This window comes from Homo sapiens, chromosome 19 (assembly GCF_000001405.40).
Source record: "Homo sapiens chromosome 19, GRCh38.p14 Primary Assembly".
Lineage (NCBI taxonomy): Eukaryota > Metazoa > Chordata > Mammalia > Primates > Hominidae > Homo > Homo sapiens.
Genome location: NC_000019.10, coordinates 21,569,889 through 21,594,802, shown reverse-complemented (window position 1 = coordinate 21,594,802; position 24,914 = coordinate 21,569,889). Strand labels below are relative to the sequence as shown.

At 45.6% G+C, this 24,914-nt stretch overlaps 2 long non-coding RNA genes across 15 annotated transcripts in view; one reads left to right on the top strand and one right to left on the bottom strand.

Annotated features, from left to right (window-relative positions):
• The window catches only part of LOC105372323 (uncharacterized), a 41,604-nt gene extending 33,174 nt beyond the window's left edge, over positions 1–8,430 (bottom strand). For all 5 annotated transcript variants that reach the window (XR_001754056.2, XR_001754059.2, XR_001754057.2 and 2 more), the window contains exon 1: positions 7,909–8,430. This is a non-coding gene — a long non-coding RNA (uncharacterized LOC105372323). The remainder of the gene's footprint in view (positions 1–7,908) is intronic.
• Positions 128–24,901, top strand: LOC101929007 (uncharacterized). Of its 10 annotated transcripts, none has more exons than XR_002958421.2 (5): positions 128–377; positions 885–1,120; positions 2,168–3,025; positions 7,192–7,940; positions 23,264–24,901. It is a non-coding gene; the product is annotated as an uncharacterized LOC101929007 (long non-coding RNA). The 10 variants fall into 10 exon arrangements; XR_007067177.1 differs by having other exon boundaries at positions 154–377; positions 974–1,120; XR_007067178.1 differs by lacking the exon at positions 128–377 and adding an exon at positions 814–884 and having other exon boundaries at positions 974–1,120.
• The last annotated feature ends 13 nt before the right edge of the window (positions 24,902–24,914 follow it).

Below are 24,914 nucleotides of genomic sequence, written 5' to 3'. Positions count from 1 at the left end.
CAATTACATCTTGGGCACAATACCCACTGACAGGAGGACCCTGGAAAGAGTCACATCACCTAGGTAAGGAGCCCAGAGGTATGTCACAATGCCCCCTGTGAGTAGAACTCAAAAAAAGAGGAGTGTCATATAACCTCATGGCTGTGCCCAGCTTATATGTCACAATCACCCCAGTGGGCAGGGCCCAGGCATGAGATCAGAGTCACAACATGTAGGTGCTGGGCCAAGTGATATGTCACAATGCCCACTGTAGACAGGTTCCAGGAAGAAAAGGAGCATCACATCATCTAGGTGATAAACCCTGAGATATCTCACAATGACCCCTTTGTGCAGAGATCACAAAGAAGAATCATATAACCTGTGTGCTGGATCCAGTGGTAAGTCACTCTCCCTTCTCTGGCCATGGCCCAGTCAGGAGAGAAGAGTCACATCATCTACATTCTAAATCCAGAGATGTGTTACAATCTCTCCTATAGGCAACGGTCAGATAAGAGAGGAGGGCCATGCCAGATAGTTGATGGGCCCTAAATGTCACAATGCCCAGTGTGGGCAGGGTCCAGGCAGAAGTCCCACATCACCTTGGTGATTAACCCAACAGTATGTCGCAATGCCTTCTGAGGTCAGGGCCAAGGCACAAAAGTGACATAACCTTGGTGTTTGGTCCAACAATATGTCAGAATCTCTTCTTGAGCAGAACCTAGCAAAAAGAGAAGAGTCACATCAGCTGGATGGTGGCCAAGAGATATGTCACAATCCCATCCGTGGGCTGAGCTAAGGAAGGAGAATAAAATCACCCAAGTGTTGAGCAGAGGCAGATGTTAAAATCACTCCTGCAGGAAGGCCCAGGGATGAGATTAACAATACTGAACATGTCCTTGTTTTAGGTATGAAAGTCAACACCTGTATTTTGGGTCTAAGTACATGAGACACAATGGTGGACAATCTATACTGAGAGCCTCAATTCTTCCTGTAGACAGTGTCTCCTCAGTGGAGTAAAAGCCTCACGGTGTGTTGAATCTTGGTCTGAGAGTCGCCAACCCACTGGTGGACCGGATCCACTTACAAGAGTCAATGTTCAAACTTTCAACTGTCTCCAGCTGTGAGATTCAGAACCTCAACAGTGAGTTGTGTTCATGTGTGTGGATGACAATCTTTATTGTGGGATGGGGGTGCATATGAGTGTTACAGTCTCATCTGTGTACTAGGCCCTGTTAGGACGCTTACTGGCCTGAGGCTTTAACTGGTATGCATGAGAGTCACAATTCTCTCTGAGTCCCTATGTTGGTATTAACCCATGATCATACCTATGGCCCTGAACCCAGGTATGAGAACCAACATCTCTTCAACTGTCTGGGTCCAGATAGGAGAGTCTTCTACTGGCTATAAGCTGGGTTAAGAAATTAGTCAGCATTCCAACTGTGGCTGGATGTTTACATATAATGCTCGCAATACAAACTGCATGCTGAGCTCAGCTGCCCCCCTCCTCTAGAAAGCCTTCCTGGGTTTCTCCGTGTCACCATAAGATCATGTCTGCCTATCTCTAACAGCTCCAACTTTTCTAGTTTGTCATTGTCTCCCTTTGTCATGGTGCTTTAAATTCCCTCAGGACTGCACTGTTTGGCTTCTAGAATGTCCCCAGAGTACAGGGCAAGGGCTGGCCCAGATAAGGAACCCCATGAGAGTTTACTAAGCAAATGCTGAATGGTGTGACTAAGCCCCCACCTGTGGTCCCCAACCACTGGCCCACCCTGCCCCAGTGACTTGCAGCTCTCCTCTGAGGATTCCACTGTGAGGTGGTGCAGGCCTCTGGAAAGGTGGCGTGGGTCCCATCAGGTGACCCCTGGGTGCTGGCCCTGCCAGACCACAGCAGACTGAGGAGCAGCAGCAGGCCACCTGTGCCACAACAGAAGGAACTGACCCACTGGAGCCGGGGCTGGGGTCCCCAGGCACAGGGTGTTCTGTGGGTGGGACAGCTGGCCAGGCTGGGCACGTGCATCCCCTTGGCTCCACCAAGTCAAGCAGTGTCCCAGCCACAAGAACCACCATGGTGCTGACCATCATGCAATAGTAGAGGCCCCCATCACACATCTGGACACAGGAGAGAGAAGACGAAATGGGTCACATGAAAGGTACTGGAGACCTAGGTGTTAGTATTTCTCTACCCTAGGTCACTTTACAACCTTGGAGAGGTCATTTGACACCTCTGTGCCTCAGTTTCTTCATCTGCAAAATGGAGATGGTGTCCCGGACTTTGCAGCACTATTTTGAAGGTCAGAGATAATGGGTATCAGCACTGCGCCTGGGACATGGTAGGAACTAAGTGTGACACTCTAGGCCTCTCCCCAGTCCTCAGGAGCCTCATCTACTGCTGCATATTAAGATTCCCCACCCACGGCCGGGTGTGGTGGCTCACACCTGTAATCCCAGCGCTTTGGGAGGCCAAGGTGGGAGGATCACCGGAGGTCAGGAGTTCGAGATCAGCCTGGCCAACATGGTGAAACCCCATCTCTACTAAAAATACAAAAATTAGCCGGGCGTGCTAGCACATGCCTGTAATCCCAGCTACTCAGGAGACTGAGGCAGGAGAATCGCTTGAACCCAGGAGGCGAAGGTTGCAGTGAGCTGAGATCACGCCATCGCACACCAGCCTGGGGGACAAGAGCAAGACTTTGTCTCAAACAATAATAATAATAATGATTGCCCACCCTGATGCCTTATGGGAAGCTGAGAGGGAGGAGAATGAATACTTGTTGGGTGGACCAGGCCTGCCAGAATCAGGGTTTGCTGGCTATGCTCTGCCTTACTTCACGTGGTCACAATCCCATGAGATCCACGCTGTTAACTCCACTGGACAAAGAAGACACTGGGACCTAGGGCAAACAGAACATTGAAACAGAGCATTCAAATGTCTGAAACTGAAACTAACAACATGGAGCAAAACTTTGTGCAAAAAGATGTTCACCATGCCCTTGTTTATAAGGGTTATCATTTGAAAAATGCTCAAGTGTCCAATTATAAAGAAATGGTAAGTAAAATATGACATAACTTCTAGATGAAGTAACTAATATTAATAGTTTTTAAAAAATCAAGCTCAGCAAAAAGGTTTAATAACAGGAGAAAACAGTTACGATATGTTACTTTTTTTCAACTTAAGTATACCAAGAAATATATAGAGTGTTATCTAAATTAAGTAAAGAAAACCATGGATGGGGGGATAAACCTGGGTAAAAACCTGGCCCCAGACCATGCTAAGAGGCTGAAACCTAGGTCCAGGTTATCCCATTATCTCTCTTCAAGGGCCAGCTCAGCCTCATCTGAGACGCCTTCTCTGCTGACACTTTTCACTTTAACACCCAAGTCCTCTGGGCTGTCCTCACCACAGCATGCACCTGTCCTAACTTCTGCTACACCTGTCCACTATCCCAGACTGTGAGCTCCCAGAGGGCTGGATCCATTCTGGCTTTGTTCACCACTATATCCCCCCAGTGCCTAGCACATAATAGCTGCTCAATAAATGTTCATTGAGTAAATCTTCTGAAATGAGGGAAAGTGCTGCTGGATGAGCAGATACTCATTGGGTGAAAATCCTCCCCCACCATTGCAAAGAGCTGAGAAAGGGGCAAGAATGCAGGATTCCAGCTGCCACAGCACTGTTGAGGGAGTGCAGTCCTGGATTTGGTTCTCGCTCTGCAGCTTGTCCTGGGGAAAACCACTCAACTGCCTGGGCCTGCTATCACTTAAAGGGCAGGCACTCTGGCAGGCTGAGAGGAGGATTTGCAGATACACCAGCTGTCTGCTCTTCCAGAGGCTGAGTTGGTGCAGCAGGAAGCAAAGGAGCATAAACCCTAAGGAAGATGTCAGGAACCAGCAATCCCTTCAAAATGGGGCTTGCCCAGCCAAACGACAATACACAGTGGTGCAAAGTCATATTCCTGTGGGAGGTGAAAGGCATGGTACATTTTTAAGATATAGGAGGTGAAACTTTAGATTTCAAAGGGGTATAGTTTCAAATATGTTTACAAATGTGTGTGTGTGCATGTGTGTGTGTCTGTGTGTGTGAGAGAGAGAGAGAGAGAGAGAGAGAATGTATACATGTAAAAGGAGTGCTCTGGGAATGGACCCCAGTATCTTTGAACCCTTAGACTACTGGACACATACAATGCCATTTGTAAATTCCCTGCAGTTCGCCTCCTGTGAATCTGTCCTGGGGGCAAGTACTTCCTGTCTCCAGATCAAAGCATTTTCATGGAGAGAGAAAAAGAACCTGACTACCTGCCACTCCTCAAAGTTGACAGCCAGGAAAGGCTGTTAGGAGGAGAAAACACTTGGCCAGGCGCAGTGGCGCACGCCTGTAATCCCAGCACTTTGGGAGGCCGAGGCCAGTGGATCACTTGAGGTCAGGAGCTCGAGACCAGCCTGGCCAACATGGTGAAACCCCATCTCTACCAAAAATACAAAAATTAGCCGGGTGTGGTGGCACGCACCTCTAATCCCAGCTACTCTGGAGGCTGAGGCAGGAGCATTGTTGAAACCTGGGAGGTGGAGTTTGCAGTGAGCCAAGATTGTGCCACTGCACTCCAGTCCAGTTGACAGAGGGAGACTCTGTCTCAAAAAAAAAAAAAAAAAAAAAAAAAAGAGGAAAAAACACTTTGGGGGAAGGTGGCTGGGCTGGAGAAAATTCCCATGTTACAGATGAGGAGACTGAACCCCAAATGGTGAAGAATCTTGCCTGTAGCCGGGTACAGCAGGGTTATCAGCACTAGAGGAGCTCGCATCTGGGCACACCTGCACAAGGCAACTTACAACACATTTTACTTTCTATCGATACAATAGCTGCTGCTCATTGTGGGAAAAAGAGAAAGCCACAGGAAAATGAGAATGAAAAATACAAATCCCCACAAATCTTGCTTCTCACAGATGAGCATAATCTCCATATAAAGTATCTTGTCCATTTCTCCCTTGCCCTGTGCATTTCTCCCTTTCTCTCCACACCACACAGGACGATGGTGGCACCAGGTGTGTGCTGGGCACTTAGAGGCCGGGCACCATGCTAAGCACTTTACAGACATCTCTTCACTTATTCCTCACAATAGTGTTATGTCCCAAGAACACTGGGACTCCTAGGGTGACCCCTTGTCCAAGGTTGCTGCTGGATTTGGACCCAGCTCTAGTCTGAATCAAATCCCTGCCTGTGTGCACAGCCAAGTTTATCACTATTTTTGTTGTTGTTTTTGTTGTTGAGACGGAGTTTCGCTCTTGCCACCCAGGCTGGAGTGCAATGGCGTGATCTTGGCTTACTGCAACCTCCACCTCCCGGGTTCAAGCAATTCTCCTGCCTCAGCCTCCCGAGTAGCTGGGATTACAGACATGCACCACCACGTCCAGCTAATTTTGTATTATTAGTACAGACAGGGTTTCACCATGTTGGTCAGGCTGGTCTCAAACTCCTGACTTCAAGTGATCGACCCACCTCGGCCTCCCAAAGTGCTGGGATCACAGGCATAAACCACCGTGCCCAGCTTATCACTATTTTTTTTTAAGATGGAGTCTCGCTCTGTCGCCAGGCTGGAGTGCAGTGGTGTGATCTCAGCTCACTGTAACCTCCGCCTCCCGTGTTCAAGCGATTCTCCTGCCTCAGCCTCCCATGTGGCTGGGACTACAGGCACGTGCCACCACACCCAGCTAATTTTTTGTATTTTTAGTAGAGACGAGGTTTCACCATTGCCGAGACCAGCTCGGTCGGGAGACCTTAACGTAGCGGCGCTAGAGGAATTAAAGACACACACAGAAATACAGAGGTGTGAAGTGGGAAATCAGGGGTCTCACAGCCTTCAGAGCTTAGAGCTCTGAACAGAGATTTACCCACATATTTATTAACAGCAAATCAGTCATTAGCATTGTTTCTATAGATGTTAAATTAACTAAAAGTATCCCTTATGTGAAACGAAGGGATGGGCCAAATTAATTGAATAGGTTGGGCTAGTTAACTGCAGCAGGAACATGCCCTTAAGACACAGATCTCTCAGGCTTTTGTTTGTGGCTTAAGAATGCCTTTAAGTGGTTTTCCACCCTGGGCGGGCCAGGTGTTCCTTGCCCTCATTCCTGTAAACCTACAACCTTCCAGCTTGGGCGTTAGGGCTATTATGGACATGTTATAGTGCTGCAGAGATTTTGTTTATGGCCAGTTTGGGGACCAGTTTATGGCCAGACTTTGGGGGGCTTGCTCCCAACACACCATGTTGTCCAGAATGGTCTCGATCTCTTGACCTCATGATCTGCCCAACCTGGCCTCTGAAAGTGCTGGAATTATAGGCGTGAGCTACCACGCCCAGCCACTATCTTTTAATACATAAAGTTGAGGCCATGCTGTGAATGGGTGCAGGTGTTAAGTCTTTGGCATAGGCAGCTCTCACTCTGGAATGCACTGCCTGCCTTACTGGCTTAACCTCTCCCACACCTTGGACCAGCCCCTGCAATTGTCCTTTGCATGGTCTCACGTGGCATCATGGTCATCTCCTTCTATGTGGGTCTCCCTCCTTCCATGTGGCTCCCCCATGGCAGGCAGGGCACGTGCTAACCTGCCATCTGGGGGATTAGGGGCACGTGGAGAGGGTCAGTGTCTACTGGATGAAGGACAGCCTGTTTTGTTTTGCCGTGACTATTTTTGCAGTAACTGTCAGCAGGGTGTCCCACCCCAAGAATTTCCTTGAGCCATATCAGAGAATTGGTGAAGCAGGTTACTGGTCCCTTACACTGTGTACCTCCAGAACCTGTACCCTGCTAGGAAAAGAAGAGTTACCTGCCCTGGAATGCATAAGCCCACCCCAGGGCAAGCCAGGAACTCCCCTGTCCCTGAGAAGTCCCACCCCCAACCCTAGCACTCATGCAGGGCCTCGGAGGGTGGCCCTGCCTCCCTCAAATGCCCTCCCCCCAAACTCCTATCACCTGGAAGCCTCTACTAGGCCTGTGCCCCATTCCAGGGAACCCTCTGCTCCCATCCAGGGCCCTCATTTCACCCCTTCCCTGAAGCCTGTCTGCGGCTGTCCCCACCTCCCTCCAGCCAGGGGAGGGTGCTCCCTGACCAGATGGCTCCACCTGTCACTCCCTGTCACTATGGTGGTCCTTCCTCCTCTGAACTCTGGGACCTTGCAGAGGCTGCTCAACACCTCTGAGCTCGAATCTCTGCTCCAGGGGATGCAGGTTATGAAGATGAGAGCGTGAGACAGCGAGCTGTAAGGGAAGCAGGTTACCCAGGGATGGACAGAGGATGGGCCCTGGCCCTCATGTTATGAAGCTTCTCCACGTGGTGCCTTCCTCTGTCAAATGGGCAGAAGAATATCCTTTTGATAGAATTAAAATATACGAAAACCATTTATTCTCCTGTTACAATGATTTTTATTTCCACAGCAACACTTAGTACCTGCCCCCCCCTCCAGCTTGCCCTGCCCACCAACCAGGAGCGGGGCCAGCCTGGATCTCTTCTCTGCCGCTGGCGTAGGGGCGGGGGCGGGGGACAGTGTCTTCAGCAAAAGTCTGCGGATAGAAAGGCCCCGCTCCTGTCCGGACAGCAGGAATGGGAGAGCCGCCTCCAACCCCAGCCCCATGGAGCAGGGCAGAAACGCTGCCCACTGCCCTGCTCCTGCCACCAGGAAGGGCGTGTGGGGGGCCACTTTCTGTAAAGAAGAAACCGCCTGAACAACAAGTGGCTCAAGGCACCCTTGTCTAACGACCAGGGACACTGAGCGCCAGGGCCCAAGTCACCAGCAAGAGAAAACCCAGGCGGAGCCCAGGGTGTCCCCCACTGCCCACCAGCCACTGCGGTCAACGTGAAGGGCAAGGGTGCAAGCGGGATCGCGTCACAGGGAGCCGAGTGAGCCCAGAAAGTAGGAGAAGGACGTTTCCACCCACCTGGAGCGCAGTCCGTTTGCAGCCGGCGGCAGGTGAGGTTTCAGCGCGGGTAGCCAGCGGGGTTGAGGCCTGGGGGGAGCGGAGCGGGGCGCCGGCCCCTGGAGTCCCACGCAGGCGCTCGTTGCAGAAGGCCCCGCGTTGTCCCCAGCGCCGCTGCCCAGCCAGCCGAAGTGCCACGGGGTTGGGCTCCGGGCGGATCCGGGGCGCTCTCCCGCCGCCACTGCCAGCTGCGTCCGCTCGGCCGCCCGCCCCGGCGCGGAGGGTCCGAGCCTGGCTCCAGCCCGCAGGCTCCGCTGCTTGTCCCAACACCCGTGGTGAGCGCCCGGTCAGGGGGTGCTCGGGCTCGGGGCAGCCTCTCCGGGGTCCGCGCCCACCGCTGCCGGGTTCCACCGAGACTCCAGGTGCCGCTGCACCCGGCCCCAGCCCTCCTTAAAGCTACAGTGAGAGGGCCCTGGCGGGGACCGGGCGTCCCGGGCGGCGGGGGTAGCACAGCTGCGGACCTGAGCGCCTAGAACTGTCTGGAACCCGTCCCAGGGGCCACCCTGCCCCAGCAAACCCTCTCGGGCGGGCTGGGGGAAGGGAGGCAAACGCAAAGCACCGTCCTTGCTCAGCCCCGTAGGGCTTTAGGAATCCTGAGCTCATGCCTCTTCACCTGCATTTTACAGAAAGGGAAACTGAGGCCCAAAGAGGGGAAAGTCTTTTTTTTTTTTTTTTTTTTTTTTTTGAGACGGAGTCTCGCTCTGTCGCCCAGGCTGGAGTGTAATGGCGTGATCTCGGCTCACTACAACCTCCGCCTCCCGGGTTCAAGCGATTCTCCTGCCTCAGCCTCCCAAGTAGCTGGGACTACAGGCGCCCGCCACCATGCCCAGCTAATTTTTATACTTTTAATAGAGACGGGGTTTCACCATGTTGGCCAGGATGGTCTCAATCTCTTGACCTTGTGATCCGCCCGCCTCGGCCTCTCAAAGTGCTGGGATTACAGGCGTGAGCCACTGTGCCCGGCCGGGAAAGTCTTTTGACTCAGTGTTTGCCACCTGCTGCTTTGACAAAACCGGCATTTTTTTTTTTTTTTGAGACGGAGTTTCGCTCTTGTTGCCCAGGCTGGGGTGAATGGCGCGATCTCGGCTCACGGCAACCTCGCCTCAACCAGCTTGTTTGTTCAGCCGTCAGACACCAAGCCCTCCAGGTCTCTGACCTCCAGAACTGGTCCCAGCAGCAAGTCTGCCGTGCTGCCCGGGCATAGTGGTAACCCTCTCTGAACAAGCAGCCTCAGATTTTCCCTGCCACCAGCTGGGTCACTCAGAGGGAACCCTTGGTCACCAGCTTCCGCCTCAACAGGGCAGGGAAAGGAGCTACCACTTCACCTACTTATTACTGGTCACCAGTCAGGCACTTTTCACATTTAGTGAAAAGTGGCTAAGTCATAAAGGCTCAGAGGGCAGTGCCTTGCTTGGGTTTCACAGCTAATAAGTGAGTGGGGAGTGGGGAGAGGAGGTGGGGTTCCCACATCTGTCTGGACCTTCCAGACTCCTATGCACTTCTCCATTTTTGCCACATTGTTCCCTCCTCAGTGACAGCCTGGGCTGCTGCTCCTGCCTCTCACTGGCCTCTCTGTCCCCAGGCTGCCTGCCCTTCATGAAGCACCAGCTTGAGCTACCAAAACAGCACCCAACCAGTCCCTCACCTGGCTGTGCCTTTTTTTTTTTTTTCGAGATGGAGACCCACTCTGTTGACCAGAGTGGAGTGCAATGGCACAGTCTGGGCCCACTGCAACCTCCGACTCCAGGGTTCAAGCAGTTCTCTTGCCTCAGCCTCCCGAGTAGCTGGTATTACAGGCCACCACCACCATGCCTGGCTAATTTTTTTGTATTTTTAGTAGAGACAGGTTTTCGCCATGTTGGCCAGGCTGGTCTCAAACTCCTGATCTCAGGAGATCCGCCCATTTCAGCCTCCCAAATTGCTGGGATTACAGGCATGAGCCACCGCGCCCAGCCCTGGCTGTGCCTTTCAGTGGCTCCTCATTGCCCTCGGAATAATCCCAGTTCCTAAGCATCCACAACCTTGTGATGAGGTCCCTGGCCACCTCCTAGTCTCACTTCCTGCACCTAAATTCACTGTTTATTGTGTCCCGGGTCTAATGTCACACCTTGGCTACAAAAGTTCTTTCATCTGGTGAACTCATGCACTTCCTTTAAAATTCAGGTCACCTTCTGTGGGTGACTTCTCTTCAGTTTCCTAAAGTGGTATGAACCAGTCTCTCTTCTAGGCTTTCACAGGACTTTCCAGGTCCATACATCATATCCCTCGACATGCTGACAAAAATAAACCTGCAAGCCTTCCTTCTTTTTTCCAGTGGAAAAAAGATAGCTAGGCCGGGCACAGTGGCTCAGGCCTGTAATCCCAGCACTTTAGGAACCCGAGGCAGGTGGATCACGAGGTCAGGAAATCGAGACCATCCTGGCCAACATGGTGAAACCTCATCTCTACTAAAAATACAAAAATTAGCTGGGCTTGGTGGCATGCACCTGTAGTCCCAGCTACTCAGGAGGCTGAGGCAGGAGAATTGCTTCAACCCGCGAGGCAGAGGTTGCAGTAAGCTGAGATGGTCCCACTGCACTCCAGCCTGGGCAACAGAGTGAGACTCCATTTCAAAAAAAAAAAACGCTGGAAACTGCAGAAAAATTAGAAAATATCAGTCAGTTAAAAGAAATCAGAATATCTCCCTTAACAGATAAAGAACAGTTTCGAACCCTACAAAGAAGGAAAAACATTCCCCTAAATGCAGCCACACTTGGAGAAACAAGTACTAAGCACTGGAATCAGATAGGTCTGGTAGAGATGGCATGAGGGTTAAATGAGTTATTATATAATATGCTTGGCGACAGTGCTTGGCTTATAGTAAGTGCTTAGTGATATTAGCTATTTTTTTTTAAATCTGTAAGTAGGAGAGAAGCAATGGGAGAATCCACGATCTTCTTGGAAGAACCTCCTTTCTCCCTCCTCCAGGACAGGGGTCCAATGTTCTTTTCCAGTGACTTAAGACTCATTACCACGCAGAGACCACCCATCACTGTGACATTTTTGATATAACTTTTTCCTAACGTGTATTTTACAAAACTCTGGGCATGCATTGCATATAGTTTTTTATTGAACGTGATCCATCGTGAGCACCTTTCCATAGCCCATGCATGCTAATTATTTGCTTATATATCTGGCTCCCCTGTGTACAGCATCTGGAGGGCAGGTAAGCACATGTCATGTCCTGTCCCCACCCCCATACCATCTCCAAACAGCACACAGTAGGCCACCATGTCATGGCCAGCATGGGCGATGTGATGGTGGGTTGCTCTGTTCCCTGCCTAGGAACATGATACATTTCCACAGGGATGTCTCAAGGCCTGCATTGAGCAGCCAAGGCCCAGCAAGCTCTGTAGCAGGAGTATCTTTATAGAAAGATACCTGAGCACATCCTTAACACCAATAGAAACAAGATTCTCAGATTCAAGATCCTAAAAGAGTCAGCAAACATTTTCTGTAAAGATCCAAATTGTAAATATTTTAGGCCTACAAAGCCTAAGATATTTAACTTTATAGAAAATGTTTGGGCCGGGTGCGGTGGCTCACACCTGTAATCCCAGCACTTTGGGAGGCTGAGACGGGCGGATCACCTGAGGTCAGGAGTTCGAGACCAGCCTGGCCAACATGGTGAAACCCAGTCTCTACTAAAAATACAAAAATTAGCCAGGCATGGTGGCGGTCACCTGTAATCCCAGCTACTCGGGAGGCTCAGGCAGGAGAATCTATTGAACCTGGGAGGTGGAGGTTGCAGTGAGCCGAGATTGCACCATTGCATTGCAGCCTGGGGGACAAGAGCGAGACTTCATCTCAAAAAAAAAAAAAAAGAAAAGAAAATATTTGTTGACTCCTGCCCTAGGCTGTAGCTCAGCCCTGTCATTCATGTGCAGTGCAATCTTGGGCAAGTGACTTCACCCCTCTGGGTCTCCTCACTTGTAAAATAGGAATAAAACTGCTCTCCAGAGATGAGGGATATATTTGTATTCTACTGTAGCACAACAAACTATGACAAATGTAGCAGTTTATAATAATCCCTATTGACTTCCTCATAGTTCTATAAGTCAGAAGTCCAGGTGGGTTTAACCGGGCTCCCTGCTTAGGGTCCCACAAGGCCAAAGTCAAGGTGTTGGCTGGGCTGGGCCCTTCTCTGAAGGCTCTTGGGGAGAATCCACTTCCAAGCTCATTCAGGTCATTGGCAGAATTCAGGTCCTTGCAATTGTAGTAACCAGGTCTTTCTTTTTTTTGTTTTTTTTGCGATGGAGTCTTGCTCTCTTGCCCAGGTTGGAGTGCAGTGGCCCAATCTCAGCTCACTGCAACCTCCACCTCCAGGTTCAAGCGATTTTTCTACCTCAGTCTCCCGAGTAGCTGGGATTACAGGCACCTGCCACCATGCCTGGCTAATTTTTGTATTTTTAGTAGAGACGGGGTTTCACCATGTTGGCCAGGCTAGTCTCAAACTCCTGACCTCAGGTGATCCACCTGCCTTGGCCTCCCAAGTGCTGGGATTACAGGCATGGGCCACTGCGCCCGGACCCAGGTCCTTCTTTATAGCTGCCAGCCAAGGTGCTGCTCTCTGCTCCTAGAGACTGTTCTCAGTTCTGTCTCAGGGACCCCTCCAACTCAGTAACTGAAAACCAGCCTCAAGTCAAATCTGTCTCCCACTATGAACCTCTGATGGCCTTTTCTAGCCAAAGAAGACTCTGCTTTCAAAGGGCTTCTGTGATTAGGTTAGGCCCACCCATCTCCCTAGCATAAGGTCTGCTGATTACTAACTTTAATGACATCCACAAAATTTCTCTTGCCATGTCACATAATTATAGCATTAACACCAGGGGGCAGAGGTCAGGAGAATCATCTCAGAATTCTGCCCACCATAGGTGCTGTGCCAAGGGACTCAGAGCACATGTGCTGTGAACACATTCCTTACAGGATCACTCCCTCTGTGCCAGGTGCCACCATGCCAGAAACAGAGGGCAGGACACAGGGACAGGTGGTGCATTCACAAATAATTTGGAAACAAGCCAGATGGTGACCAGAGCTTGCCTCTGAATGCCCCTTGTTGGGGATGCTATACAGAAAGCCCAGGATTTTTAGCTGAACCAACAAGGAGGCTTTGAAAAGGTGACATCTGAGCTGGGTTGTGATACACGTAAAATTTCAAGAAGCAAAGAAAGGGCTGGAACTGAGGGTAAAGAAGGGCTATCTGCTCAAGGCACACATTGATTACGAAAGGATACATCAGTATTATGTTAACAATGAACATAATTGTAAGCTTTTGTATAAACCAGCCTGTTAAGGATTACCAACAGAATAAATGTTAGCATATTTTGAACACCTACCAAATGCCAGGCACTATGTATACTAGGTACACTAGGTATATTGTATTCCTAGCTTATTTAATCTTCAAAGAACCCTACATGGTAGAACTTTTTCTTCTTACAACTTTTTTGAAATATAATTTGCATACTAGAAAAATCACTCATTTAAAGTGTACAATTTAATGGCTTTCAGTAAATTCACAGAGTTGTTCATCTATCACTACTAAAATCGAATCTATCTTAGAACAGTTTTATTACCCTCAGAAGAAATTCTACGCCCCTTAACCATGACACCCTAATTACTCCCTGGCTTCCAGTCCTAGGCAATCACTAATCTAACTTCTGAGTGTGGATTTGCACATTCTAAACATTTTATATAAATGAAAACATAGAAAATGTGACCTTTTGTGTCTGGCTTTCACATAATATGCTACGTGAAAGGTACATCCATGTCTTAACATGTGTTGGTACTTCATTCCTTTTTATTGCTGAATAATATTCCATTGTATGGATATACCACATTTTGCTTAATTATTCATTAATTGACAGACATTTGACTTGTTTCTACTTTTGGCCATTATGAATACTGCAGCTATGAACACTCACATACAAGTTTTTGTGTGGATGTATGCTTTCATTTTCCCTGGGTATGTAACCTAAGGATGAACTTGCAGGATCATATAGTTAATTCTACATTTAACTGATTGAGGATAAGATAGGAATTTGTATCTTCACTTTAGGATTGAGAAAGCTGAGGCTCAAAGAAGTTAAAATAGCTGCCCAAGATTATAGAACAGAGAAGATTGAAACACATATTCATCATACATCAAAGCTCTAGACTTCCATGGCTCTACATACATACAAAATAAGACAGAGGTCTCTTTTAACAAGTCTCATCTTAAAATATACATTTCTCAAGAGCAGAAATTTTTGTCTGTTTTATCTCAAAAAAAAAAAAATGTGATTTTGATTTCTCCAATTAGCTCCACATGAATGGGATTTTGAATCGAGCAAAGAGATAGGCAGGACGAGGACATTTTGTGGGCTTGAGTCCAGCATTGACTTCCTAACTCTAAGGCAATCTTCTGATTTAGTGCTTCCTGCCTTTGGATGAAGCAGGAGCTCCTCTGATGGACCAGCTCTATGTGGTGTTGAGAGCCATTTCTGGAAATTGAGCCTAGAGTTTCTGTCTTCAGCCCTTTGAGGCTGAGAGCCATCTAAACCACTTAACCCATTTCCCGTTTAGAAGAAAAGGTGCAGCTGGTTGCCAGTGCTCATTTAATTTTACATAAACATCCTCCTTGAAGCTGAAGCAAATCTGAATGATTTTTATCTTGAAAATAAAATATAAAAACTGTTTGTGAAGTTATTTCTAAACAAAACTTGTCTCTAGTCCTAATGTAACAGAAATGTATATGATGTCACATTAGGATTAGAAACATGAGTGTTCTCAGGGCAAGTGGGAAATAGGTTAATGAATTCTTGTCTTCTTAACCCACACAAGTAGACATTATAAGTCCCACTCCACAGATGAGTAAACAGAGGCTTCACTGGAAAAGCTAAATGTTTTGTTAGGGGTAACTCTACTAATAGTGGCAAAAGTAGAATTCGACCCAGATTTATCTAACCAGAAACTTGTGTTCTCCCCTATTACTGACCCCCTGTGACAGTCAAGGTGTAGAATAAACTAAAAGGCATTCCACCCCAAGAAAGGAGCTGAATGTTTAGTTAACAACAGAAGACACAGTGGATGGGAGTGGTAGAAGGTAAGATTTCATCGCTGCTGTGATAGTGTTATGGCCAGCATCCCAAGGAAGGCTTTATCCTGCCTTGATCTTCCCATAGGGTTCCTACCCAAGGTGCTATAGACAAGGAACAATAGCTAAATGCGAATCACTGGCTCACTTTGTTAGTATTTGACTTAGTGTCCAATAACTGCCAAAATGATAAAAGTCTGAGGTAGAGTATAAAACTTAGGCCTGGTCGAGCGCGGTGGCTCATGCCTGTAATCCCAGCACTTTGGGAGGCCGAGGTGGGTGGATCACCTGAGGTCAGAAGTTCAAGACCAGCCTGGCCAAAATGGCAAAGCACCATCTCTACTAAAAATATAAAAATTAGTGGAGTGTGCTGGCACACACCTGTAATCTTAGCTACTTGGGAGGCTGAGGCAGGAGAATCACTTGAATCCAAGAGGTGGAGGTTACAGTGAGCCAAAATTACACCACTGCACTCCAGCCTGGGTGACAGAGTGGGACTCTTTCTCAAGAAAATAAAAAATAAAAACATACTGCTGGATGCGGTGGCTCATGCTTGTAATCCCAGTGCTTTGGAAGGCTGAGACAGTCAGATCACAAGGTCAGGAGATCGAGACCATCCTGGCTAACAGAGTGAAACCCCATCTCTACTAAAAATACAAAAAATTAGCTGGGCATGGTGGCACATGCCTGTAGTCCCAGCCACTCGGGAGGCTGAGGCTTGAACCGGGGAGGTGGGTGTTTCAGTGAGCCGAGATCACGGCACTGCACTCCAGCCTGGGCGACAGAGCGAGACTCTGTCTCAAAAATTAAAATAAATAAATAAATAAATAAAAACATATTTAAGCCTGAGGCTAAAGTGAGTCTTTCTACCTGTCTCCATTCCTGCTAGAATCCAGTAGGCTCAGGTGAGTTCTGATCTTTAAGAAATACTAATCCCGTTTGGTTCAGCAAATATCTTAGGGTCAAAGGACATAAATGACTTCTGGAGTTGAAAAGGTGACCAGAGGCAGGTCTGATTGTAAAGGAAGGCAAAGAGTGCATCTATCTTACACAAATTCTTCCAGAAAATTGAAAAAGAGAGAACATGTTCTAATTCATTTTATGAGACCAAAAGAATCCTTAATGACAAAACTACAAGGACATTACATGAAAGAAAAATTATAGGCCCGTCTCTCTCATGAAGTTCCGTTTAACACTCAAAGATTAAGCAATGTGAATTAGGATTTCCACACCTCAATACTATTAACAATTTTAGTTGAATATTCTTTGTTGTGGGGAGACATTCTGTGCATTGTAGAATGTTTGTCACCACCCCTGGCTTCTACCCACTAGATGCCAGTAGCACAGACACACACCCAATTGAGCCAATCACAAATGTCTCCAGACATTGCCAAATGCTCTCTAGGGAGAAAAATTACCCTCGGTTGAGAACCGCTCATGAAATTATTTCATTAACAGAATAAGTAGAAAAATCTACAAGATTATCTTAACAGATGTAGGAAAAGCATTTTTAAAAATTGAACACCATGGGAGGCTGAGGCAGGAGAATCCCTTAAACTTGGGAGGCGGAGGTTGCGGTGAGCTGATATCATGCCATTGCACTCCAGCCTGGGTAACAAGAGCGAAACTCCATCTAAAAAAAAAAAAAAAAAAAAAATTGAACACTGGCCTGGCGCGGTGGCTTACACCTGTAATCCTAGCACTTTGGGAGGCTGAGGCAGCCAGATCACAAGGTCAGGAGTTCAAGACCAGCCTAGCCAACATGGTGAAACTCCATCCCTACTAAAAATACAAAAAAAAAATTAGCTGGGCGTGGTGGCAGCACCTGTAATCCCAGCTACTTGGGAGGCTGAGGCAGGAGAACAACCCGGGAGGCAGAGGCTGCAGTAAGCCGAGATTGCACCACTGAACTCCAGCCTGGGCGACAGAACAGGACTCCATCTCAAAAAAAGAAAAAATTGAACACCAATTCATAATTTTCTAAAAAGCAGCAATCTAGAATGAAAGAAAACTTACCTAATTTAATAAAAGGTACCTACTTTTCAACAATCTATAGTAAGCATCAGAATTCTTTTTTTTTTTTTTTTTTTTTTTTTTTTTGGCAGAGTCTTGCTCTGTTGCCCAGGCTGGAGTGCAGCAGCGTGACCCCGGCTCACAGCAACCTCCACCTCCCAGGTTTAAGTGATTCTCCTGCTTCAGACTCCAAAGTAGTTGGGATTACAGGCGTGCATTACTAATTTTTGTATTTTTAGTGGAGATGGGGTTTCACCATGTTGGCCACGCTGGTCTCAAACTCCTGGCCTCAAGTGATCCATCCACCTCGGACTCCCAAATTGCTGGGATTACAGCCATGAGCCACTGTGCCTGGCCAGTTATTATGATTCTCAATGGTAAACTACTAAAAGTTTCCCCTCCTAGATCAGGAAAAAGACAAGGATGCCTGCTATTATTGATTCTATTATATTTCATTGGAGATCCTAGCCAGTGCAATAAGGTAAGGAAAAAAAAAATTTAATAGGAAAAAATAAAACGGTCATTTGCACATAATGATTATCTTGTGTAGCAAATCTGTAAGAATTTGCAAGTGAATTTACCAAGTTCATTACATACAGCTTCAATAAACAAAAGTCAACTTTTTAAACTAAACTAGCAATAAACAATCAGACAATAAAAGTAATAAAGACTGGCCGGGTATGGTGGATCATGCCTGTAATCCTAGCAGTTTGGGAGGCCGAGATGGGTGGATCACCTGAAGTCAGGAATTTGAGACCAGCCTGGCCAACACGGCAAAACCCCATCTGTACTAAAAATATAAAAATTAGCCAGACGTGGTGGTGTGCTCCTATAGTCCCAGCTACTCAGGAGGCTGAGGCAGGAGAATCGCTTGCACCTGGGCAGCGGAGGTTGTGGTGAGATGAGATTGCGCCATTGCACTCCAGCCTGAGTAACAGAGTGAGACTCTGTCTCAAAAACAAAACAAAACAAAACAAAACAAAAAACAAGTAATAAGGACCATAATTCCCTGTACCCTTTTCCACCTGACTGGTCTGCTGTGAGGGTCAGGATGAATCATTCTGAGCTAAACATCCTGGGTTTACAGGCATGAGCCACCATCCCTAGCCAGGAATATTTGGATAAATGCAGGTCTCATAATTTATTCATTCAGAGAGAGGGAGACACAGAGAAAGAGAAAGGAAGAGATGTTTTTATATGTGAGTGTATATTAATATGTACATTTCCAAACTCTGTCTGCTGAGAGCTTTCAGAAGCAGTAACACCCCAGTATTAATAAGAATACCTAGCTCTCATATTATGGTTCCTAAGTACTATTCTTCAATAGAAGGAAGCAACACTACTTGGACAAATAGATAATTCTGGGACTGGAGTGAAAAATCAAACTTAAGGTAGAGTATTTTGTAAAGCTAGAAAGTTAAAAAGTGCTTTATGAACAACAGAAAGAGACATGTCAGAGGAAGTGAACCTGAAAGAGTTTCCAGCAGCCCAAGCTGAAACAATGTGAGAAACAAAATAATAATACCCTTGGATTATAACCTAGAGAATAAAAGAGCTATACATGAGTCCATGCAGATATAGACAAAATATAATAAGAAAAAAGGAAAGAAGAAAGAGAAAAAGCAAATCTTTTTTTTTTTTTTTTTTTTTTTTTTGAGACGGAGTCTCGCTCTGTCGCCCAGGTCGGACTGCGGACTGCAGTGGCGCAATCTCGGCTCACTGCAAGCTCCGCTTCCCGGGTTCACGCCATTCTCCTGCCTCAGCCTCCCGAGTAGCTGGGACTACAGGCGCCCGCCACCGCGCCCGGCTAATTTTTTGTATTTTTAGTAGAGACGGGGTTTCACCTTGTTAGCCAGGGTGGTCTCGATCTCCTGACCTCATGATCCACCCGCCTCGGCCTCCCAAAGTGCTGGGATTACAGGCGTGAGCCACCGCGCCCGGCCAAAGCAAATCTTCTTAACAGAATTCTAAGTACTAATCAATGTAGATAGATAATGCAAAATAGGAAATCACTACCAGGACACCACAGTAATAATTACTGTAGATAAAGATGTATTAAAGAATGCACAAATTGTGGGTAAAATTTAAAGGAGAAACAGTGTATTTACATAGCCCAAAATATCTGCCTCCAAATATTTATAATACCATTTTCTCTTAATTTCTTTATAAGACTTATGACTAAAGGAGAAATTGTAAGTATTGTGAGATATAGAATGTGTAGATGTAAAATTTATGAATAGCATAAAAATAAAAGGAGGTAAGTAAAGCTCATCCATAGCAAGGTCTTCATATTTTACATTTATTACAATTGTACAGTATTAACTCTAGGTAGATTGTGATATGTTAAAGATGCATATGGTTATCCCTAAAGAAACCACTAAAAAATGTAAAGAGTTGTCATTTAAATGCTAGTAAAGAAATTAAATTATATATGAAAAAGTATTTGTACCAGAATGTTTATAGACCTTTTAGTCATAATAGCTTAAAGCAGAAAACAACCCAAATGTCCATGTCTAGGAAGATGAATAAACAAATCATAGCTCATTCATACAAGAGAAGGCTACTCAGCCATAGAAAGAAACAAACTGAAGCACACACCTTGGATGAATCTCATAAACCTGCTGAGACAAGCTTGAAATAAAATAATACAAATTGTATAATGTCTGGAAAAATGAACTAATGGTAAAAAAAAAAAATACCAAGTAGCCTCGGTAGAGATTAAAATTGTCTGAAAAAAGCAGGAGGGAATTATCTGAGAATAATAAGAATATTCTATCATTTTATTATAAATTCTATTAATAGAGAAGGGAAACATTCTATTTATTCTTAAAAGATATGAAGGTCATATGGGTGTATTTATTTGTCAAAAATCTTCAGTTAGGATTTGTGCCTTCCAATGTATGTACATATGACGTCACAAAAAACAAAACTGAAGAAAATAATGAAGGGTGGACAATGGGTTGGCCAGGGATGACCGAAGTAGAGAAGAATAGGTGAAACCAGAATGGCACAAGATTAGTAGTTGTTGAAGCTTCATGATAGGTCTATTAAATTATTTTTGTTGTTGTTGTTTTGCATATGTTTAATTTTTTGTAACAAAACACTTGAATAAAAACACAAAATTGATCTACAATGTTAACTCTTAAGATTATGGTTATTGTCTAGGTGCAATGGCTCACGCCTGTAATCCTACCACTTTGGGAGGCTGAGGCAAGAGGATCACAAGGTCAGGAGTACAAGACCAGCCTGGCCCAGATGATGAAACCTCATCTCTACTAAAAATACAAAAAAATTAGATGGGCGAGGTGGCACGTGCCTGTAATCCCAGCTATTTGGGAGGGTGAGGCAGAGAATTTCTTAAACCTGGGAGGTGGAGGTTGCAGTGAGTCGACATTGCGCCACTGCACTCCAGCCTGGGTGACAGAGCAAGACTCTGTCTCAAAAAAAAAAAAAAAAGGTTATGGTTATTGTTGGAGAAGAAAAAAGAAAGTAATTGTTGGAACATGGTTGAGGCTATTTTATGCATTGCATTGCGTTGCGTTGCGTTGCGTTGCGTTGCGTTGCATTGCATTTTAGAGACAGGGTCTCACTCTGTCAGCCAGGCTAGAATGCAGGGGTGTGATCTCAGCTCACTGCAACCTCCACCCCCGGGCTCAAGTAATCCTTCCACCTCAGCTCAAAAGTTTTAAATGTTATCATGCATGAGTCATCTCTAGAATGACAAATGGTCTCTCTTTAACTAGAATGACAACAATTGAGACATATGTGACTATGGAGACACCATAACCTATGAATGACATAATATGGACAAAACCCAAAAATAATGGAAATTGACAGTGGCACTAAGATCGTGAGTTTTTTACACTCTGATCTATGTGAGAACTTTGCCAAAATGGGAGAATTTTTTAAACAAATTTATCGGAGGCCATCATTCTTAACTTCTGCACTAGGTTCAAACAGAAAAACAAAACAAAAAAAGTAAGTCACTCATGCTAAATGTGACATAATCAAATTGAAAATTTCAGAAAATAGGTAGGGCTGGGCACAGTGGCTCATGCCTGTAATCCCAGCACTTTGGGAGGCTGAGGTGGGTGGATCACCTGACGCCTGGAGTTCAAGACCAACCTGACCAACATAGTGAAACCCCATCTCTACTAAAAATACAAAATTAGGCGGGCGTGGTGGCACATGCCTGTAATCCCAGCTACTTGGGAGGCTGAGACAGGAGGATTGCTTGAACTCGGGAGGTGGAGGTTGCAGTGAGCTGAGATGGCGCCATTGCACTCCAGCCTGGGCAACAATAGTGAAACTCAATCTCAAAAACAAAAAGAAAGAAAAAAGAAAATAGGTACATCCTAAAACAGATGAGGTTTGTTTGTCTGTTTGTTTTGGTAAACAGCACATTTCAACACAAGGAGTTTCCCTCTACTCTTTTAAAAATAAATAATAATAATAAAATAATAATAACCTGAAGTCCTTGTTTCTACTTTAAAAAATCCACAGTTATGCTATTTCACAGTGGGATTTCAGACTAAATAAGTACTTCTTTTATAGTGAGAGAGTAATATCAATATCCAAGTTTTTTTTTTTTTTTTAGATGGAGTCTCGCTCTGTTGCCCATGCTGGAGTGCAGTGTCGCGATCTCAGCCCACTGCAACCTCTTCCTCCCGGGTTCAAGAAATTCTCCTGCCTCAGTCTCCTGAGTAGCTGGGATTACAGGCACTCACCAACAGGCCTGGCTAATTGGTTTGTATTTTTAATAGAGACGGGGTTTCACCATGTTGGTCAAGCTGGTCTCAAACTCCTGACCTCAAGTGATCCACCCACCTCGGCCTTCCAAAATGCTAGGATAACAGCCATGAGCCATCACGCCCGGCCAATGTCTAAAGTTTTGGTCTATCTCTCAAAATTAAGATGACCAAAAGGACAAATTATTAAATTAATTACACCATAAAGCTGCCCCCTTTCACGTTTAATTTTGGTCGTTTTTATTTAAAATACTAAACTGAAACCTACCTGGATATGTAAATAGACTGTACCCATTCTTGTACCAATCAATGTGTTTTGGCCAGTAAAATGACGTCAACTGTTCAAACCATAAGGCAACTCCCAAGCTGTAATCAATCTGACTGTTTCGGTACCTGGCTTCCATTTTCCGCATGTCAATTTGCCTTTTCTGTTCATAAATTTTTTACCACCATGTGGCTATGCTGGAGACTCTCTGAGCCTACACAGGCTACCCAATTTGCAAATCATTCTTTTCTCAATTAAACTCTGATAAATTTAATTTCTCTAAAGTTTCTTTTTCTTTTTTCTATGATGAAAATAAATAATGTGTTCTTGGGCTTTGATTTTTCTAAACTCATTCCTCAGCTATTTTTCAAAATTATTATATGTCCATTCAAATGCTTCTGCAATTTTTTTGAGACAGTGTCTCTCTGTATCACTCTGGGTGGAGTGTAGTGGTGCAACCAATCATGTCTCACAGCAACCTTAACACTTCAGGCTCAACCAATCCTCCTGCCTCAGCCACCCGAAGAGCTGAGACGACAGACATGCAACATCATGACTGGCCAATTTTTAAATTTTTTTTCACGGACACAGGATCTTACTATGTTGCCCAGGTTGCACGTAAACTCCTGAACTCAAGTGATTCTTTCATCTCAGCCTCCCAAAATGCTAGGATTACAGGTGTGAGGCACCCTGTGCTTCTGCAATTTCTTGAAAGGATTATTCCCAATCATAAATAGTGCTATATGGGCATACATTTTTTAAAAATCTGGCTTTTACTGTAGCAGCATCTCTCTCCAGGATTTCAAGGATCTACAGCAGCCAAGAGTTTGATGCATGGGCTTTAGAGTCAGAAGAGTTGGTACTGAGTCTCAGGCCAGCCATTTAGTAGCTGTGAGTCTTTGGACAAGTTTCTTGATGCGAAAGAGTTGTATAAACCACATATGCAAAAAAGGCATAATGATATTGATTGCAAAAATGGTAGCAATTTTTCATCCCTCCTATCCATGCCTATTGGCAGGTGCTCTTACAGCTGTTCCCATTGAGATACAGAATCTGTTTTCCCAACCCTAGATCTGGCTGGCCTTATTTGTTCAAGGCACTAGATACTTGTGAACATGACAGTGGGCTAGTTTGGGGCCTGGGCTCAAATGGTGTTGAATGCTTCTGCTTTTCTTTCAGAATGCTGCTGTCTCCATCAATAAAGTCCATGTTAGCCACCTAGAGGATAAAATACCACGAGGAGGAGTAGCAAGGTGCCCCTGTTGACAGATCTTGAAGCACAAGCTCACTCCCAGAAGCACAGCTGCCTAGTCAACAAACAGCTGACAATACATGTCTGAAGGAGCTCAGCTGGGAACAGAAGAATGGCCCCACTGAGCCTAGCCTAAATGGCGGACCATCTCAATTATGAGCTAATAAGTTTTGGATGATTTGTTATGCTGCCATACCTAACTAATACATGCACCCAGTGCAGATTGGGTGTCAAGATTTAAAGACAGTTTGATTATTAGTCACCTTCTAACAATGGGCACCCTAAAGGTACTGACATTTTTCCCGATTTAAAGTTAAATGTCTTGTAAGGCAATGTTGACTGATGCAGGAATACTTGTAGACATGTATGCATGTGATTGGTGCTTATATGCACACAGTCCCCCACACCACAGGAAAAAACCGATGACCAGAGCCTGACCATTATGGCCAAGGCCAAATAGCCAAAGTTTGCCTTTAATCTATTTTCTTCATATCTAAAAATTGGAGGTCAATACTGTGGACAGGTCTGAAGACATAGAGTTTTGTTCTCCTGTGGCCCCATCATTCTTCAGTGGTCTACCTGTGGTTATTTTATTCTTGTTACCTTCTGCTCTTTCTATGACCACTATCTGTTCCACCCTTGAAACTGAAGACAGATGTTAGTAGAAAGAGGCTGTTCCCTCATGTCGGGCATGTGGGATACGATGAGGTTTCTCTTCAAATAGCCTGATCAATCTTTTATTCTTTAATTCATAGTACCCACACACACACCCCTTTTTTTCCTTTTTCTCCTTTTTCCTTTCTGCCTTTGTTAGATGCCCAGGCACGCCACAGTACCAGGCATTATCAGTACCAGCTCACATTTCTTCCCTTATTTGGAAAGAGGACTAACTTTCTAGCTCAATGCAGACACCCCTTCCCCTTCCTCTCTGCATTCTTTTGCATGCCCACCTTATCTAAAAAAATCAAATGTTTAGCCAACCAGGATTAGTTCAGATTGTACGACCCGACCCTGGCCAATGGGGAAAGGGTACAGGGGCAGGACTTGTGTCAGGAATAAAGGCTCTTGTGCCCCTTTGTTCAGGTGTGCTCTCATGGTGACTGGACAAGAACGCACCCCTCTGTGCAGAACTAAAATTGCTTTGCTAGGAATCCTTTGTTCGAGTGTTCAATTTCCTTATGATTTTGAGCGTTATTCCTAACAGGAAGAAAAGGGATATTCAGGCCTTTCACAGACCTGACAACAGAGCTGCACTTCAATGTGACAGGTATTGACCATGTGTGACTCCTGGGAGCCTGGAATGTGGCTGGTCTGAGCTGCAATTTGCAAGAAAGGTAAAATGCAGAGTTAGTTTCAAAGATTTAGTTCCATAAATATAAAAATATACAACATATAGATAAAAATATCTATATATAATATGGATAAAAATACATAGCATAATGCAATATATAGATACATAATTATGTTATATATAAATATATATCTCATTCATAATTATACATTGCTCACATATTAAAATAATATTTTGGATATATTGCTTTAATTAAATTGTTACAACAGACGGATGCAGTGTCTCAC